The 19,598-nt window shown below is 41.4% G+C and overlaps 1 long non-coding RNA gene across 3 annotated transcripts in view; it reads left to right on the forward strand.

Moving 5' to 3' along the window:
- Positions 1 to 12,228, forward strand: part of PARP11-AS1 (PARP11 antisense RNA 1) — a 40,211-nt gene extending 27,983 nt beyond the window's left edge. Inside the window, exons 1-2 of one of the 3 annotated variants that reach the window (NR_183433.1) lie at positions 897 to 1,033; positions 11,730 to 12,228. This is a non-coding gene — a long non-coding RNA (PARP11 antisense RNA 1). Of the gene's footprint in view, positions 1 to 896; positions 1,034 to 7,011; positions 7,228 to 11,729 lie in introns of those variants that run through there. The other 2 variants (NR_183435.1, NR_183432.1) reach the window with 2 other exon arrangements.
- The last annotated feature ends 7,370 nt before the right edge of the window (positions 12,229 to 19,598 follow it).

Genomic DNA, 19,598 nt, shown 5'->3' on the forward strand with positions numbered 1-19,598 from the left:
GAATTGTAACAGGCAGAGCAAGGGTGATGAGGGTGCCATTGGCCCATCTGCCTCAGAGCATGAGGGCTTATTCCTGGTACCATGTTTCTTCTTCACATTCAACTTTGTGGTCTTTGTATTTTGTAAATCACGAAAGCAAAATATATTCATAGTAGAAAACTTAGAAGTACAGAAATGTATGAAGAAGAAAACGAAAATTAGCTCTCATCATTTGGAGATCACTACTGTTATCATTTTGGTATATGTCCTTCAAGTCTCTTCTGGAGACTTGTGTTCCATGAGGCACATGGAAGTACTAAAAATGTGGGTTAGGTAGTGTTTATATTCTACATTAAAAAACTAACATTATGTCCTGAATTATTTCCTCAACTTACATATTCTTTGAAACCCAGTTTTAATAGTTATACAACATACTATTGTGTAGATATGCCATAATTTGTTTGAATTGACTTGCTCTTGGACATTTAGGCTGTTTCCACTTAGATGTGGTGGCAGGAAGGTGGCACTAGATTTTAAAAGGGGATACTGACAAAGCAGTGATCAGTCCAGGGAGGATAACTGGACTAGTGAAGCATCTTAGAAACCACGACCTGAGAGGGGCAGTTCAGAAAACCGGGAACGTTTATTCCAGAGAAGGGCACACATAGACAACTCTGATAGCTGTCTTCAAACCCTTGAAAAGCTGTCAAATGAGAAAGGGAGTGAATTAGTTTTGTGTTGTTCCAGAGGGCTGAACTAAGACAAGTGGACAGAGGCTGAAGGGAGTCTGATTTCAGCTCTATTTCTAACAATGCCCACTGTCCACAGACAGGCTGAGCTGCTTTGTGAGGGAGTAACATCTCCATGACAGCAAGGTGCAAGCGGAGATAAGACAACCACCTGGGTCAGGAACTTGTAGAGAGGATTCCTACATGGAGTGGGAGACTGAAATAATAACCTCAAAGATGCCTTCCAATCAGAAGATTTGGTGATTCTTTCTGAGTTATCAAACTGCCTTCCTTTGACCTTGCTCACATGTAGAAATCCAAGTCAGGTAAGGAGCAAAGAAGTCAATGACATTAATCTCACTGCTAGAGTAAGCACTGTAGCTCAGAACTAGAACACACGTCTGTGTACTTGGCCTTGGCTCATATCTAGGTAGTTTTTTACAGTCAGCAAAGCACTTTGCAGATAGAACTTATAGTTTAATTCTTGTAACAGCTTTGGGAAGTAGATATTGACATCATCCCACTATTAAAGTTGAGAAAATTGAGGCCCAAAGTGCTGGAGTGACAAAACCCAGCCATCCACCTCTAGTTCCTTGCCACTTCCCAGGATGCAATGCTGCTGTTCTCTGTGTGAGTTCCTAGTGCACTCTTTGATGGGCTGTGAAGGTTCTTTGTCCTTTACACTCTGTATTTGGTGTCTCTTCGGCTACAATTTAAACACTTTAGGACAAGGGTTTAAGGGCATGTTATTTTTCTTTTGTATCCCATCCTCCCACCGCCCAGTGATCTTTCTAAAATGCACATCCGATCATGCCAGCCCCCTGTTTTGAGTTCCTCTTAGGCTTCTTGTTGCTTGGCACAGAGATGCCAACCCATTTGGGAGGGACTGCGGATCCAAGAGTGGTGCACATTTCAGAATCTTGGGAGGAAGTGAAGTACGACTTATAGCATATAGAAGCAATACAATAATTATTTGAAAAGAAAAATCAAAGCAATTTGTTCATGAATACGTTTGTTTTGCTTACCAGAGCTATATATAGGCAATACTATAATTCTCGACACTTTTAGGAGAGCACATTATTTTGAGGGTGCGTGAGACTTTCATTTTCATCAAAGAAGCCATGAATTTTGTTGTTGTTTGTGGAACCACAATCTCAAAAGTGAAAACATGCCATCTCTCATATCTCAGATTTCCATATATGTATGGGCTTGTGTCTGGACTCTCTTTCGTCTTCTGTTAGTTTGTGGCTTCTGTGCCACAGTCATGCCATCTAATTATCATGGCTTTATAAAATGTTTTGCTCTCTAGTCGGACAGCTGCCTCCACTTCTTTTCCTCCAAAATTGTTTTTGAACCTTTGTTCTGTTACATTAATTTTAATATGAGCATTTCCAGTTCCATAAAAAAAGTATTTTGATTTTGATTGTAATTACACTTGATTAATATATTAAAATTGAAGGACAGCTGACAACCTAATGATATTGAGTCGTCCCATCCATTTATTTGGATGTGGCAGGACCTCTTGGTTGCCTACTCATCAGTACTAGCCCACTCCACTTCCTTTCTTATCTACAGAGAATGCTTCCCATATTAGAGACTGAAAATATGAGAGATTTTCCTATTCTTCCATAGGCATGGCCTCATGACTCAATCCTGGGGGACATGAGATAAAGGTTTATGGGAAAAGTTTGATAACAAAAAAATAGATGTGCAAAGAGATACTTCTTTTACTTCCTCTGGAATAGAGTCATGTGAAGAGGTCTTTACACATAGACTCTAACTATGACATCAATCCTGAAACTGGGAGAGGACAAACCTGAGATAAAAGCCTTGTTGGAGATGCTTCAGCAGAAAGATGGAAAGATCCTGAGTGTTTGATGACATCCTTGAGTTGCAGGATTAAGCAACCCTGAACCTGCCCATGCTGGGCTTCATGTAATGTGAAGTAATAAATATTACTTCAAGACACTTCCTGTTGGATATATGTTACTTGCATGTAAAAACACCTTAATTAATATACCATGTCTTGTTCTATTTCCTTCAATAAAATTTTATTATTTTCTTCACAGGCATCCTACACATTTTTGCAAATATGACATTTTTGAAGATTACATTTCTAATTGTCTATTACTGGTGATTAAGTAGGCTATTGATTTGTTTGTTGGTCTTATATCCAGCTTAGTGATCACTCATTAATTCTAATAGTTTATAAAGTGTCCTACGGACTATTATATCATCTGAAAATAAGAACAGCTTTCTTTCTGCTTTTAAATTCTTATATTATGTATTTTTCTTGCCTTATTACATTAACTTATACTTCAGATACAATATTGAAAAGGAGTAGATATGGTAAGCAGCTGTTTCCTCCTGACTCTGATAGGAATAATTATCAAGTTTCAGCTTTCAGGACCTTTCCATAGCACAACTCTAGGGGGCACCATTCATAGTACTTTGACATTATGAGTGGTTTTGTAATATATTTTTATAAATAGTCTCTGTTAAAGTGTTTGTGTATCAGTTAGGATTAGGCTTGGTTGCAGGCAACATAAAAAGACTGAATAGCAGTAGATTATACAAGATGGAAACTTATTTTTCATGCCCAAGATATCCAGAGGTATTCAGTTCAGGACACAATTAGTGTGCTGCAGTCTCAGAGATCCAGAATCCTATTACCATGTTGTTCCACCATCCTAATCGTTTCCCACCTTCAGGTGGGAAAACATACACTTTCCTCGAAAGATAAAGAAAGCACATTCAATTTATAATTTATCAAATTATGATTTTAAAAAACTCAATAAAGTAGGACTAGAAGGTGTGGCCAAGATTGCTAATTTCATCCCAGTATCTATTCTTCCTGTATCCTTGCAAAAGAAACCTTAATCTTTTATTCTGAATTTTCAAATTTATTTGCATAAATTTTTCCATTTTCTCTTATGGTTTGTTTAATCTCTATTCTAATGTGTTTTGTTTCTGTTCCCTTTTTTGTTCTTAATATTTTATTTATTTGTGTCATTTTCCTTGATTTGCCTCACTAGAAATTTTTCTTTCATTCAAAAACTCAAATTTTAACTATATGAACTTTTTGTAATTTTTTCTTAATTTATTGATTTTTACTTTACCTTTATTATTTCCTTTTTTCTACCCTTTGTGGCACCTTCTGGTTTGTTTGTTTATTTTCTCCCTTCTTGAATTGACTGCAAACTCATTTCCTTTTTATCTTTCTTTTATTTTACAGATAAATTTTAGGTTCTAATCACATCTTTTAATACTACCTTACTGCATCACACATTTTTTGTGATTATTTTATTTTCACTTCGTTTAGAATATTTTCAACTTTTCATTATTATTTCCTGTTGAATCTAAAAGTTAACTAGAAAGATATTTTTAAATTTCCAAACATGCAGTTTTTTTATTTTTTTTTAACTTCTTTAAAAAAAAACTCTCAGCCAGGCACTGTGGCACATGCCTGTAATCCCAGCTACTTGGGAGGCTGAGGCACAAGAATCACTTGAACCCAGGAGGCAGAGATTGCAGTGAACTGTAATCCTGCCTGGGTGACAGAGTGAGACTGTCTCAAAACAAAAACAGAAACAAAAAAACACCTCTCCTCTTTGCTTGCAGATGTCTAATTTAATTGCATATTGATACAAATATGCATAATATAAATTCTTTGAAAATTGCTAAAGTCTTCACAATATGGCCAATTTTGTAAATTTTCTAAGAAGAAAAATTTATAATTTTTATTGGGTACAGAGTTCTATATAAAACAGATAAATTTATAGATATTTTCTTCGAATATTCTTACAGAGTTTTTTTTGTTAGATTTCTCATTTGCTGTTAGAAGAATATTAAAAATCTACTATGTGTATAAAATGATCTGTTTTGGCCTTTTATATAACTTAAAACTATGTTGTTAGGTGCATGCAAGGTCATGATTGCTACATCATCTTGGAGAATGATTCATTTTATTATTGTATAGTATCTATCTTTTTCTCTATTTGTTCTTTTTGCAACAAATTTTATCTTGTCATATATTAATCTTGCTGCTCAACATTCATTTGGAATTTACATGATCTTTTTTTTCTCACCCTTCAATTTCAAACCTTCAGACTGATATTGTTTTGTGTGTCTTTCTTCTCAATTGCATATTGTTGGGTCTTTCTCTTTCATTCATTTTCATAATCTCTGCTTTTAGTGGTTGGCTTTAATCCACTGGCAAGTATTGTGAGTTATTACAGTCATTCCTTGGTATCCACAGGGGATTGGTTCCAGGACTCCCTGTGGGTGCCAGAATCCACAGATGCTCAAGTTCCTTATATAAAATGGCATAGTGTTTGCATGTAATCCATGCACATCCTCCTGTATACTTTAAACCATCTCCAGATTACTCATAATACCTAATACAATGTAAATGCTATGTAAAGATTTACTATACTGTATGTTTTAAATTTGTGTTATTTTTATTGCTGTATTCTTCTTTTTAACTAAAAAAAATGTTTAATCTCACGTTGGTTGAATCCAAAGATGTGGAAGCTGTGGATATGGAGGACTGACTACATTATCTTCTTTTATTTTTTCTGTTTATTATGTTTTTCTTTGCTACTTTTTTCTCCCTGTTTTCCTCTGCGCTTTTGGAGTGATAAAGTTTTTATAATTACGTTTTTCTCTGCCTGGATTGAAATCTATATTGTGCACTTCTACTCATTAAATGATTATCCCTATATTAGGGCCGGGCGCGGTGGCTCACGCCTATAATCCCAGCACTTTGGGAGGCCAAGGCGGGCAGATCATGAGGTCAGGAGATCGAGACCACGGTGAAACCCCGTCTCTACTAAAAATACAAAAAATTGGCCGGGCGTTGTGGTGGGCACCTGTAGTCCCAGCTACTCGGGAGGCTGAGGCAGGAGAATGGTGTGAACCCGGGAGGTGGAGCTTGCAGTGAGCTGAGATTGCACTACTGCACTCCAGCCTGGGTGACAGAGCGAGACTCCACCTCAAAAAAAAAAAAAAAAAGATTATCCCTATCTTTAAATATTTAACAGTTATACACTTATTTGTATGAACAAATCTAAACTTTTTTGGTAATGTTATTCTCTTCTTGGTGGTCATACATATTCTGTATCTGTTAAAGTCTTCCCTCCTCTGTTTTATTACTATTTTCTTTAATTTTAACTTCACACCTCATTCCTTTTTTTTTTTTTTATGGAGTCTGGCTCTGTCACGCAGGCTGGAGTGCAGTGGCACAATCTCAGCTCACTGCAGCCTCCGCCTCCTGGCTTTAGGCAATTCTCTGCCTCAGCCTCCCAAGTAGCTGGGATTACAGGTGCCCGCCACCAAGCCTGCCTAATTTTTGTATTTTTAGTAGAAATGGGGTTTCACCATCTTGACCAGGCTGGTCTTGAACTCCTGACCTCGTGATCCACCCGCCTCGGCCTCCCAAAGTGCTAGGATTACAGGTGAGAGCCACAGCACCTGGCCCATCCCTCATTGCTGAATGAGAATTAGCTAGATAGAAATTTCCCTCAGCAGTTTGTAGGTATGGCTTCATTATCTTCTCGGGTTCAATTACCTTCTTGGTTTCTATTCTATTACACCTTAAATTTTTCATAGAAAAATGTAAGATGTAACTTCAGTCTAAGTGTTAATCTTTTTTAAGTAATCTATTTTTCCCCACTGGCAGCTTTTCCTTTTATTAATGATGCTCTGCAGTTTCATTGTGATGTGGACCTGCATCAAAGTGCACTTTTGATCTGAGTTCTCATATTTTTCTCTAACTCTGGAAAATTCTAAGCTACAATCTTTTCAAATAATGACTTCTCTCATTTCTTCCAGTCTCTTTTCCTTTCTCTGGTACTCAAATTAGAGATGTGTTGGAGTCTCTCAGTCTGTCCTGCAGGGCTCATAACTATTCTGCTCTTTTGAATTTTATATTTCTTTGTCTCTTTGTACTAGATCTGGGTAAATTTGTCAGTACTCTCAATTTACCAATTATCTCTTAAACTGTGCCTAGTCTAGAGATTATCGTAAATATTGGCTTTCTTATTTCCAGAATATATTTTTAAGTTCAAAAATTTTCAGTTGATTGCTTTCCCTGTCTACATGTGGTGGTTTGCCCCAAATTTGCCCCATCCCTTCATATATGCCCCTTTGCAATGTGACTTTGACACTCTGACTATCAATAAGTGGGGTATACCTCTGCAGCCTCAAATCTGGTCTTGTCTATGTGACTTGTTTTGAGCAGTGGCCATTGGCAAATATATAATTCAACAGAGGCTTGAGAAGTTCTTGTGCATTGGAGTTTGCCCTTTTTTGGCTGCAGGAAACCCTGCTATCACACGGAAGCAAGCCTAGGTTAGCCTCCTAAAGAATCACAAAAAGAAAGACCCTAGCTGTCTGAATGATCTGAGCTAAGTCCCCAGACGTGCAAGTGTGGCCATCCTAGACCACTGAGCTCCAGCCAAGCCAGCTTGCATCAGAAGAACTGTCCAGAAAACTCACAGAATCATAAGAAATAATGCAGGTTGGTTTTTTAAGTGACTAAGTTGTGGGGGTGGTTTGTGATGCAGCCGAAGGTAATTGATATACTGTGTTGTTCCATTTCTCCCTGTTTTGTTTCCCAATATTTGTTCACTTTTAAGGCATCTAATTCCTTTTCCACGTCTTTAGTCACCTTAAGTGTTACTGTTCAAGTCTTACTGTTCAATTTACCGTTTAAGTCCTTGACATACTGTTTCATAAAATTATTCTCAACTGGAGTGAACTATTGACTTTCTTGACTGTTTTTCTTAGCGCTTATTTTCTACATATATTTTGGAAAGTCTGCAGGCTTATTTTGAATGGAAGGCATTTTGTTTTGTTTCACTTGTTCTGCTTTTTCTTGTACCCAGTTGAGAAGTTTTGCAGATGCTTTCACCCAGCACGCTGTACTCTTGGTCCACAGCTGAGTCTCAAGATAGTTTTCTGGGGCTCCTGGCCCACAGTGATATTGAGAATATTACAGAGCCAGTCACAGAGCTGGCTTTGAATCAGCTGGCTTCATATCAGCTTTAAATTTCTAATCAGTTCCTGTTTAGAAGGCCGGGTCTTGGATCGCTGTAGTTCCACAGCTTCTGAGAACGCCTGGCTTTCAGCAGTTAGCCTGGTTCTATCGTTTCTTGAGTAGACACTTAGTTTCTATTATCCTATCCAAGCCACACTCCTTCCCATCGCTGCCTGGTTTGGGGTCCAGAGCCCTGCAAGCCCACGGCTTTACCCCCCTCATGCTTGCAGTCATCCATAAAGATGCTTTCTTCTTGGTTTCAAGTTTGGGTATTTTTATTATTATTATTATTATTATTTTAGACAGAGTATCACTCTGTCACCCAGGCTTGAGGGCAGTGGCGCGATCTCGGCTCACTGCAACCTCTGCTGCCCAGGTTCACGTGATTCTTCTGCCTCAGACTCCCGAGTAGCTGAGACTACAGGCACCCGCCACCACGTCCAGCTAATTTTTGTATTTTTAGTAGAGACGGGGTTTCACCGTGTTAGCCAGGATGGTCTCGATCTCCTGACCTCATGATCCCCCCGCCTCGGCCTCCCAAAGTGCTGGGACTGCAGGCGTGAGCCACTGCGCCCTGCTAAGTTTTGTATTTTTAGTAGAGACAGGGTTTCACCATACTGGTCAGGCTGGTCTTGAACTCCTGACTTCATGATCCACCCACCTTGGCCTCCCAAAGTGCTGGGACTATAGGCGTGAACCACCGCGCCCGGCCATGTTTGGGTATATTTTATTAGGTTTGTTTTTTCCTTGTCTATACTTTGTCTTTCATGGTCTTTTACTTAGAACACAGGGAATGTGAAGAAGTGTGAAATTAAGGGGAGCCCGTTTGACCGGAGGTCCATTTCATATAATTTTATCTAAAAATTAAATATAAGCTTAAGCTGGCATGCAAGATCTTTCACAATTCAGATCCGCTTCCCACTCCCACTGCTAGGCACCCCGCACTTCACTCACATCAAATTGCCTCCTGTTTCCTGAACACAGCACGTGCTTTTATTCTTTGGGGCACGTTCATATCCAGAACAGCCCTCCTGCCACACCTTTCATCTTCAAGACCTTCATGAAAACTCATTTCAACTGGGAAGTTGGCTCCAGATCCCACAGATTAAGTTACTTCTTCCTTCTCTGTGCAGCTGGTATTGTTACATACCTTTATGTAGTGCTCTCTGTATTCCTCTATATTCTATTTCTATATACTACTTAATGTCATCGAATTGTGAATTTTAGTACTTATAATCTCCTCCAGGTAGGCTGAGAGCTTCCTGAAGACAGACACTGTCTTTTCCATATTCATATTCTTGGAAGTTAGCAAAGGGCCTGGCACAAAGTATGCACTCAGTACACACGTACTGAGTAAATGAATGAATGATTCATATGATGTGCAAGATAAAGTAAGCATATAGTACATGTGGTTTATTGCCATATTGTTATGTCCATAACAATTGCTGTTTATCTAAGTGTCTGCTTTGGGCAACATGAATGTGCTATATTTATCCACTGCACTTAGAAATAAAGAGAAGGCAGCGGACAAATTTTTATCCTGAAGTTTGCCTTATATAACTACCATTAAGCTAACTCTGTGCAGAAGACAATTGACATACTCCAATACACCTTTTGTAAAAGTGTGGTTTTTACAACTCTTAAGGCAACATGAGACAGTCTCATTTCCTTCCTCAATTTCATGGCATTCTTCAAAAAAGAGTGGAGGAGGATGTTAGCACGAGTTGTTATCTTTCTTTTTTTTTTTTTTTTGAGACGGGAGTCTTGCTCTTTCGCCCAGGCTGGAGTGCAGTGGCGCAATCTTGGCTCACTGCAAGCTCCGTCTCCCGGGTTCACACCATTCTCCTGCCTCAGCCTCCCGAGTAGCTGGGACTACAGGAGCCCGCCACCACGCCCGGCTAATTTTTTTGTATTTTTAGTAGAGACGGGGTTTCACTGTGTTAGGCAGGATGGTCTCGAACTCCTGACCTCGTGATCCACCTGCCTCGGCCTCCCAAAGTGCTGGGATTACAGGCATGAGCCACCACACCCGGCCCGTTATCTTTCGAGCAAAGTAAAAATACGATGGAAAAAGCTCTAATATGTGTAAATGCTTTACAGTTATAACAACTCAGTTCTATCTTTCTATCAATTATAATTCTATCTCAGGAGAAGGGTTACGTTTTTTGTTCCTTTTTTTACAAAGAGGATGTAATTTTGGTACCAAATGGCATGCTGTGTGAGCAAAAATATTTGTCTAATTGTCCAACTTTTCTGGAATCCTTCAGGATACTATTTCTTCCTCAGAAACAGAATGAAGGCTCTGTGACATGGAAGAAACAAAAAGGTTTTCATTCTGGTGGGAGTTACTTGTGCTTTCATTTCCTCCAGCTCGATTGCATGGCTATGGCAAAAACAGAAATTCAACTGAGTAGAATTTCTGTTCTAAAAACATCTAAAATTCATCTCAAATCTGTATCTTTTCTGGGGAGAGAAACTAAATCCAGTCTAACAACTAATTAAACAAACAAACAAATACCCTAAAACCACAGTCTTCTCCTGGCGCCTGTCTACACCCACTCCTCCCCAGACCCCTTCCCCCATCTCCTTCCCCACTAGCCCAGTCCCACCTGGTCCAGGGATCAACGTGATGGGGCTCACTCTCTCCCACACAGGGAATGTGTTGGATAAAAGTTATATGTGGAAAATGTGGGTAAGAGAACTAGAAAATGAATATGAAGTTATCACTGTGTTTAACTTCCAACTTTGCTCTCTGATTCCAATAGTCGTCACAGTTTTCTGAAAACCTGAAATGTAACGTATGTGACGTTGCTTCTCCCTAGTGATTCAGCAAACAAAAGCCTGAAATTCTTCTCCAAATCTCCATTTTCCCCCACATTCCTAATTCAAGCTCAAAGCTTTATTTAATTTAACCACATTTAACACATAATTTTTAGTTATGTGCTCTGATTGATGCAGTATTTCTTATGGATATAGACTTTGAATCCATTGTATGACCTCGAAAAGAATTTAGAGTTTAGACAATTTAGAATTTGGAACCAATTTCAGTGTCTCCAGAAAAGATCCAAAGTTGATAGCTTGCCGCTTCTCCCCGTATGGTGAGCCATCTCACTGTGCTCAAGAGACTGCTACATCCTGGAGAAGGGGATAACACAGAGGGACACAGAGATTTTTTATTTACAGAAATAGTATCTGGAAGTGCCCTTTGGTTTACTATCTTGATCTTTTATGTTAAGCAACTACGAATGTTTGAAAGGGAGAACAAAAAAATCGCCACTAAGAGAAGGAAATATTACCTGAAGAAGGCCGGGCGCGGTGGCTCACGCCTGTAATCCCAGCACTTTGGGAGGCCAAGGCAGGCGGATCACGAGGTCAGGAGATTGAGACCGTCCTGGCTAACACGGTGAAACCCCGTCTCTACTAAAAATACAAAAAAAAAAAAAAAAAAAAAAAAAAAAATTAGCCGGGCGTGGTGGCAGGTGGCTGTAGTCCCAGCTACTCGGAGGCTGAGGCCGGGGAATGGCGTGAACCCGGGGAATGGCGTGAACCCGGGAGGCTGAGCTTGCAGTGAGCCGAGATCGCGCCACTGCACTCCAGCCTGGGCAACAGGGCGAGACTCCGTCTCAAAAAAAAAAAAAAAAAAAAAAAAAAAGAAATATTATCTGAAGAAAATGTTATCAATGACAACTCCTAGACACTAATTGTGGTACATTGCATTTCATTTCATTTCCAGTCACACTATGAGCATCTACGATGAGCTAGGTACTGTACCAAATTCTAGACCACCTTTGTTCAATAGAAATAGATGCCAGCCACCTATGTAACTTTAAAGTTTCTAGTGGACACATGAAAGCCATTAAAGAGAAATGGGCGAAATTAAATATTTGTATCATTTCGACATGTAATCAATACAAAAATGAATGAGATGTTTTATTTTTTTAATACTGCATCTTCAAAATCTGTTGTGTGTTTTTCACTCACAGCGCAGCTTAACTTGGACTCACCACCTATCAAGTGCTCGACAGCCACGTGTGCAGTGGTTCCTACGTGGAGCAGCATACATCCAGAGATGCAAATATTAATGAGGACAGTGCTAGTAACAGAGTTGCTGAGCAATCTATGTCCCCTTGTAAGAACCAGTGCCCCAGGGGAAGAAACAGAACTCCACAAGGTAGCAGTGTGGGTGTAGTACCCGCATGTGCCCATGTTATGGGAATGTAGATGGGGAGTGACCACCGCCAACAGAAGTGTGGCCATCTTGCCCGAGATGCCTGAGGACCTCCTATTTTTAGATGCTGCTGCCCAAGGCCTGTATTTCATGCTATGGCTTTTGTCATTTGAATTATCAGTAGCTGTCTCGGAGCTATTACGCTTCACTGGGCCCTGGAGGATATTGTCTTATACAGTCCACTGGGTTTTGGATATGCAGTCTGTGCCTTTCATTGCCTTCCTGGAAAATAATAACTAAACTCTTCCTCACCAGGCTTTTTGTCTTTTTTAACTTTCTCTTTGTCTAGTTTATTTTGGTATCTCTGTTACTATCATTTCTTCAATGTTTTTTTCCTGCTGATCTAACTCTTTTAGCTTGTTCAAGTTAAAAAAAAAAAAAAAAAAGGCCGGGCGCAGTGTCTCACGCCTGTAATCCCAGCACTTTGGGAGGCCGAGGCGGGCAGATCACAAGGTCAGGAGATTGAGACCATCCTGGCTAACATGGTGAAACCCCATCTCTACTAAAAATACAAAAAATTAGCCGGGCGTGGTGGCGGGTGCCTGTAGTCCCAGCTACTCGGGAGGCTGAGGCAGGAGAATGGCATGAACCCGGGAGGCAGAGCTTGCAGTGAGCCGAGACTGCACCACTGTACTCCAGCCTGGGCAACAGAGTGAGACTCCGTGTAAAAAAAAAAAAAAAAAAAAAAAGACCTTTGCCTGGGGCCTGGGGCCTGTTGAGGCATCTATGGGCATAGCTTATGCACACTGGTGACAAGAAATGTTAAACACAGAGCTAAAATATATTAAGTATTTAAAATTAGTGTACGTATATAATAAGTAAATCCTAAGATAATGATGTTGACGCAAGGGTGGGCAGAATTTGTGAGGGCAAAGCTTAAGAGTGGGAGAGTAAAGATGTGCAGGTCCCAGTCCCTTATGTCTTGCTGCGGGAACAGAAAGAGAGGCCATCATCAGAGGTACAGGATGCTCATCTTTCCATCTTGTCAGGACCATTTTGATCTCAAGGACAATTTGATATGCAGAATGCAAAAAGAATATAACTAAGATATTTTTGACAGCAGCAGAAAATGTCTTATGAACAAACCACTGAACGTCCATTTTCAGATATTATCAAGTAGTAAATCCCTTATCCTTTCCCCTTCCTTGACCCTGTTCTACTAGGTGGGAGTCAGCACAGGGTGGAGGGTGTCCTTGACATCTATACTAGGGCCACCGTACAAATAACCCCAACAACAAAATGACCACTCCAGTCCACATATGGTGTATCCCCCTTCCCACCACAGGTTAAATCCATACCATGTCTCCAGTCAGGATTGTGGCTTAACTTTTGACCTGGAGCCCACACAACTTTCACACATTATAGTTCTCTCAAGTTTAAGAAGACAACTGATTTGGTTTGGCTGTGTCCCCACTCAAATCTTATCTTGAATTGCAGTTTAGTTCCCACAATCCCTATGTGTCATGGGAAGGACCTAGTAAGAGGTAATTGAATCATGGGGGTGGGTTTTTCCCATGCTGTTCTTGCGAAAGTGAATAAGTCTCACAAGATCTGATGGTCTTATAAGGGGCAGTTCCCCTGCACATGCTCTCTTGCCTGCTGCCATGTAAGACATGCCTTTGCTCCTCCTTCACCTTCTGCCAGGATTGTAAGGCCTCCCCAGCCATGTGGAACTGTGAGTCCACTAACTTCTTTTTCTTTATAAATTACCCAGTCTCAGGTAGGTCTTCATAGCACTATGAAGATGGACTAACACAGCAATATTTTCAAAGTTAGGCTCCCAGCTGAGCACCCTTTCAGTAGTATTTGGGTTATTGGTCTTCAGCCATTGTTCTTATATTTCCTCTGCTCCTTTCCGTCTCTCTTCCCCTTTGACACCTGCTACCAGGCTGGGAGTTCCAGAAACCCCATGTGCAGAAGCTTGAGGGCCCAGGCAGGGGAGGAAACATGACAGTTAGGCAAAAATACCCCTGAGAGGTCAGGTGCTTTATTGGATGGGCACCGTGAACCTAATGCTCTGAAGGCTGGATGCCTGGGCTTCCTTCCCCATACCTAAGGCTGGATCTGAGGAGAACTGGCAAATAAGTGAGGTTTACTCTTCCCCTCTACTTTGAGCATCCTTATCTGCCCTGTGTCATCCTGTCACCCTCTAGCTAAACCTGCCAGCCTGCCCTCGTGGGGCCATGCCACCACTCTGCCAGGCCTCCCCTCCATCTGTCTCCCTCTTTGCTTGATGTCTGATAGCTGTCATGTGGTAAAGAGCAATGTGCTGATGCCTGGTGGGAGCTGGATGTGTACTCAATAACCAGGAGTGCTTGCACTTGGTGAAATAGGGAATAATATTATATTTCCATCCAATCATATGGAATGAGATCCAAATGGTGAAATGCCAGACCCCCGGACAAAAGGACTGTTATCTACAATTGTGTAAATCAAGCTTGTTCAACCCACAGCCCACAGGCCACATGCAACCCAGGACAGCTTTGAATGTGGCCCATCAGCTATCGATCAGCTATCATTAGTGTATTTTATGTGTGGCCCAAGACAATTCTTCTTCTGTGACCCAGGGAAGCCAAAAGATTGGACATCCCTGGTGTAGATTGTTCTCTACACAGGACTTGAAGCCTAGGAAGTGAGTGAGGTGGTCAGTATGCACTCTACTCACCAAGCCGCACACCCTGACACAGAACTGTGTCCCCCTGAAGGAAAGAGTACCCTTTGCTGATTTTCACAAAACTACTCTAGTACTACTTAATGCTTAAGGGGGCTTTGGGTAGAAGAAGACTTAACCTTTTAAAACACATTTTACAAGCTCGTGCCTGTAATCCCAGCCACTCAGAAGGCTGAGGTAGGAGGATCTCTTGAAACCAGGAATTCAAGACCAGACAGGGCAACATAGCAAGACCCCCATCTCTAAAAAATAGCAAAAAACAAAAACTTAGCCAGTTGTGGTGGTCTGCACTTGTAGCCCCAGATACTCAGAGGCTGAAGTGGGAAGATCTTTTGAGCCCAGGAGTTTGGAGCTGCAGTGAGCCGTGATCGTGCCACTGCCCTCCAGCCTGGGCAACAGAGCAAGGCCCTATCTCCAAACAAAACAAAACAAAACAAAACACATCTTTTAGTCTGGAATGTGCACATTTGTCATCATTTTAGGCCTGACTATGAGATTCTCACAAAGAGAAACCGAAAAAGAACAGAAACATCAATCATTTCAATTAATCTTCTTTTGGGCCCAATGTGAATCATCTCTCCTCAGGACTCTGGTTTGCTGACATTCAGGTGGGAGTTTTTCATGACAGCAGGAGATCAGGACTCTGGTTTGCTGGCATTCAGGTGGGAGTTTTTCATGACAGCAGGAGGTCTGGACTCTCGTTTGCTGTCATTCAGATGGGAGTTTTTCATGACAGCAGGAGGCTCGGGCGTCTGTCTCATGCTATCTCAGGGGTGATCCTTACTAAGGACTGGGGGAGAACAGAGTCATGTCCAGATGTAGGAGGCCTTCTGTAGAAAGGTCTGAGGGACACGGCCATTGCAGACTGCTGTCCTTGTGCTATAAAAGCTTCCTCACAATATTACTCCCACTCTATAAACACACTGTTAATTAAAAGAGAAACTCATTAAATACCCTTATAAAATCCAGAATATCCCCTACTCTTCTCCCCTCCCTTTCTCCTCCTTACCATATGCCAATAATCAACCATTTTTTTTTAGTGCATTCTCTGTGCCAGCAGTGACAAAGGAAGAGAGTCTGTGGTCTCATAGAGCTTATCATGGGTTTCTAGGCGAATTTCTCTCAACAGAAAAGGTGAGGTCTGAGATGGTCTCTAGGAATTTGATGTTCAGGTTCTCAGAAATCACTGGTTTCCTCGGCATGTTCTGTAATATGTCCTTAAATGCTGAAGAGACTTAGTGCTAAGGTCACTAATTATATATCACGGAGAAAAAAGTGCCCAGTCCTCCTCGAAAGAAATGAAGCTGTTTCTTTTCCGTGTTCTCTTTTCACTAGACAAATACATCTGGATTTCCCAAACACCAAAAAACAAACAAACAAACAAAAAAACGGAGTCTCGCTCTGTCGCCCAGGCTGAAGTGCAGTGGTGCAATCTCGGCTCACTGCAAGCTCCGCCTCCCAGATTCACTCCATTCTCCTGCCTCAGGCTCCTGAGTAGCTGGGACTACAGGCGTCCGCCACCACGCCCAGCTAATTTTTTGTATTTTTAGTAGAGACGGGGTTTCACAGTGTTAGCCAGGATGGTCTCGATCTCCTGACCTCATGATCCGCCCATCTCGGCCTCCCAAAGTGCTGGGATTACAGGCTTGAGCCACCATGCCCGGCCAGATTTTCTTAATTCACTCTCCCCTCTGAAGGTTTTTGTACTATCTATATAAAAATGTATACATTCATTTGTTTACCATCAGGTATTTATTGAGTACCTGTATTCATTTTCAATGAGTTTGTATAAGCAAAAATTTAAAAATAAATAAAAGTGATAAGACACTTTTGAACTGACTGGGCAGTGGGAGACAGACAAGTATGTAAACCGTTTCAGTTCAGGGTGGTAAGTATGACAGAAAGACAGAGAACATAGCCGCCAACTTTAGCTGATGAAATGAAATTGAGGCGGCTTCATGCAGGAGGCAGTTTTTGACCTGAGTCTTAGAGAGTGAACAGGAATTAACCAGGCAGAGAAACGAAGCAAGACAACTCCAGGCAGAGGGAACAGCGTGTGCAAAGTCCCAAGGACAGCATACTGGGGATCCTATAGAGAGATAGACAGCATCCCTCAAATGCACTTCCTCTCTATCTGAAAACCTGTGAATTAAGGAAAGAAGTCTTCTGTTCCCCCGAGCCTCTACCCCACACATCCACACACCCAATATACAGTAATGGGACAGGCATAGGATCACAGCTATAGACTCTCCCATTCAGAAAGGGGGAAACAGAAGGCATAGAGGAGTTACCAGCCTACAGCACTTCTGAGATCTGGCAGGGCACATGTGGTCAGCTCCTTGATTAGAGATCAAGCCCTGGGAATTATTCCCAGTGGCTCTTGGTTTTTCCCTCTGTGTCATCCTTCTTTTTCTGTAAAAGATTGTTTACATTTGCAACTGAGTGTATTTCTCAGACTATTCTCAGCCTATAAAAGTTTGGGAATCCAAAGCCTTTTTATTTTTACTCTGTACTTTCTCTGCCTCTTTTAGTCCAAGCTGATGGTGTTTCTTCTTGTAAAATTGTCTTAAAACCTTTGGGAGTCTCCTGTGAATCTTATTGGGTTGTGTGTCATCATTTAAAAAGTTTGTGAGGTTTTTCTTAATGGCACAAATGACAATAAGGTTCACAAGGGAGGGGACATCCCACACATCTCTTCAAGGTAAGCCACACTCTACCCTGAGCTTCTATTGAAGCTGCCAAGGAATCCTAAAAGCCCTGGGTTTCTGTTGGTGGTGTTATTTTTGTTTTGACTAAAGAGTTCTCCAAGGCATTGCCTTAAGTCTTTCCAAGATTTTAACAAAGGATATTATGGTCACATTCATTTTTTGTTATGGTCACATTCATTTTTTCTTTTTCTTTTCTTTTTTTTTTATGAGACAGTCTTGCTCTGCCACCCAGGCTGGAGTGCAGTGGTGCCATCTCGGCTTACTGCAATCTCCACCTCCTGGATTCAAGCAATTCTCGTGCCTCAGCCTTCCGAGTAGTTGGGATTACAGGCCTGCACCACCACGCCCAGCTAATTTTTGTATTTTCAGTAGAGACGGGGTTTCATCATGTTGGCCAGGCTGGTCTCCAACTCCTGGCCTCAAGTGATCTGCCCACCTCAGCCTCCCAAAGTGCTGGGATTACAGGCATGAGCCATCACGCCCTGCCTATGGTCACATTCTTAATTCCCTCTTTAGATCATGTTCTCCTGACCATTCCTGAAATTTTATTTTTGCACAGAGTAATTTCCTTATTAAACACTGCTTCTTTCTGGAGAGGCAGGTGATTTTCCAACTCAGCAAATTCTGCCTCTTTCATATTGAATGAATTTTTTTTTCCTTGAGCTTATCCCTGTCCCCTCCAATTTTAATATAAGCATAAAGACAAAGCCAGGGGCGTCTTTAACACTGCCTGGAAATTTCCTTAGCTAGAGCAACCTGTCCATTAGATACATCTGTTTTCCATGTTACCGCAGGTGATGTGATTTGGCTGTGTCCCCACCCAAATCTCATCTTGAATTGTAGCTCCCATAATTCCCAAGTGTTGTGGGAGGGTCCCAGTGGGAGATAATTGAATCACAGGGGCAGTTTCCCCCATACAGTTCTTGTGGTAGTGAATAAGGCTCACGAGATCTGATGGTTTTTTAAGGGGAACCCCTTTCACTGAGCTCTCATTCTCTCTTTGCTAGTTGCCATGTAAGATATCCCTTCCTTCGTCTCCTGCCATGATTGTGAGGCACCCCCAGCCATGTGGAACTGTGAGTCAATTAAACTCTTTTCTTTATAAATTACCCAGTCTCAGGTATGTCCTTATCAGCAGCATGAAAACAGACTAATACGGCAGGCAAGAGTCTTGCTAAACTTTCTGCCTTTTCATGGAGGCTCTTTTCTCTGATTTCCTCACTTTTCTTTAATCCTTGACAAACAGCCTTCTTGAGGGACATCAGTCTTCTGCTAACAGTCTCTATGAGATACTTGATAGATTTTTACTAAATACTCTTCTCAAGGACCTTCTGGCATCTGCCCACCACAGTCCCAAAGCCACTTCCATATTTTCGGGTCTCTGTTACAGCAGCAACTCACTCACCCCTTGCCTTCTGCACCCCCACTTTAGACACCCCTGCCCATATACATCTCCAGCTATAGCCCACCAGGCCCACTCTGGTCCCATCAAGGCAGAGGGTAAGCAATTTTCTCTAAAACTTCTGCCCCTTCCAAAGGTCCCAGAAAATAATTCGAATATATCCTCCCGAAGATGGGTTCCCCAGAGGAGCTGTCTTGGTAAAGGGCTAACAGATAGGGTTATAGAAAGAAGTTAATGATGCTGTCTTCAAAAACAAATAAACAAACAAACAACGTTTCAGGACACCAAATGTTTTCTCCAGAGAAAAGTATCAAAATTCTCTGGGAAATATTTTGAACTTGCTGTTTGAGGGCAAGATCCAGAGAATTAAATCTATTTCTAACAAGAAATATTTTTAAAAAGAGAGGGAAAAAATGTGAGATTAAATTTATGTTAGGCTAACATGAGCTTTTATTTATTTATTTATTGTAAGACGGAGTCTCACACTTTCACCCAGGCTGCAGCGCAGTGGCGTGATCTCGGCTCACTGAAAACTCCACCTCCAGGGTTCAAGAGAGTCTCCTGCTTCAGCCTCTTGAGTAGCTGGGATTACAGGCACCTACCACCACACCTGGCTAATTTTTGTATTTTTAATACAGACGGAGTTTCACCATGTTGGCCAGGCTGGTCTCAAACTCCTGACCTCAAGTGATCTGCCTGCCTTGGCCTCCCAAAGTGCTGGGATTACAGGGGTCAGCCACTGGGCCCGGCCCAGTTTTATTTTAAAACACTGCTACCTCGACAGTGGAAGACATGCACGGCAAAATGGGAAAGGCCAGGAGCCGAGGGCTCATGCAGACCTAG

The sequence above is a fragment of the Homo sapiens genome, chromosome 12 (genome assembly GCF_000001405.40).
Source record: "Homo sapiens chromosome 12, GRCh38.p14 Primary Assembly".
Taxonomy (NCBI): Eukaryota; Metazoa; Chordata; class Mammalia; order Primates; family Hominidae; genus Homo; species Homo sapiens.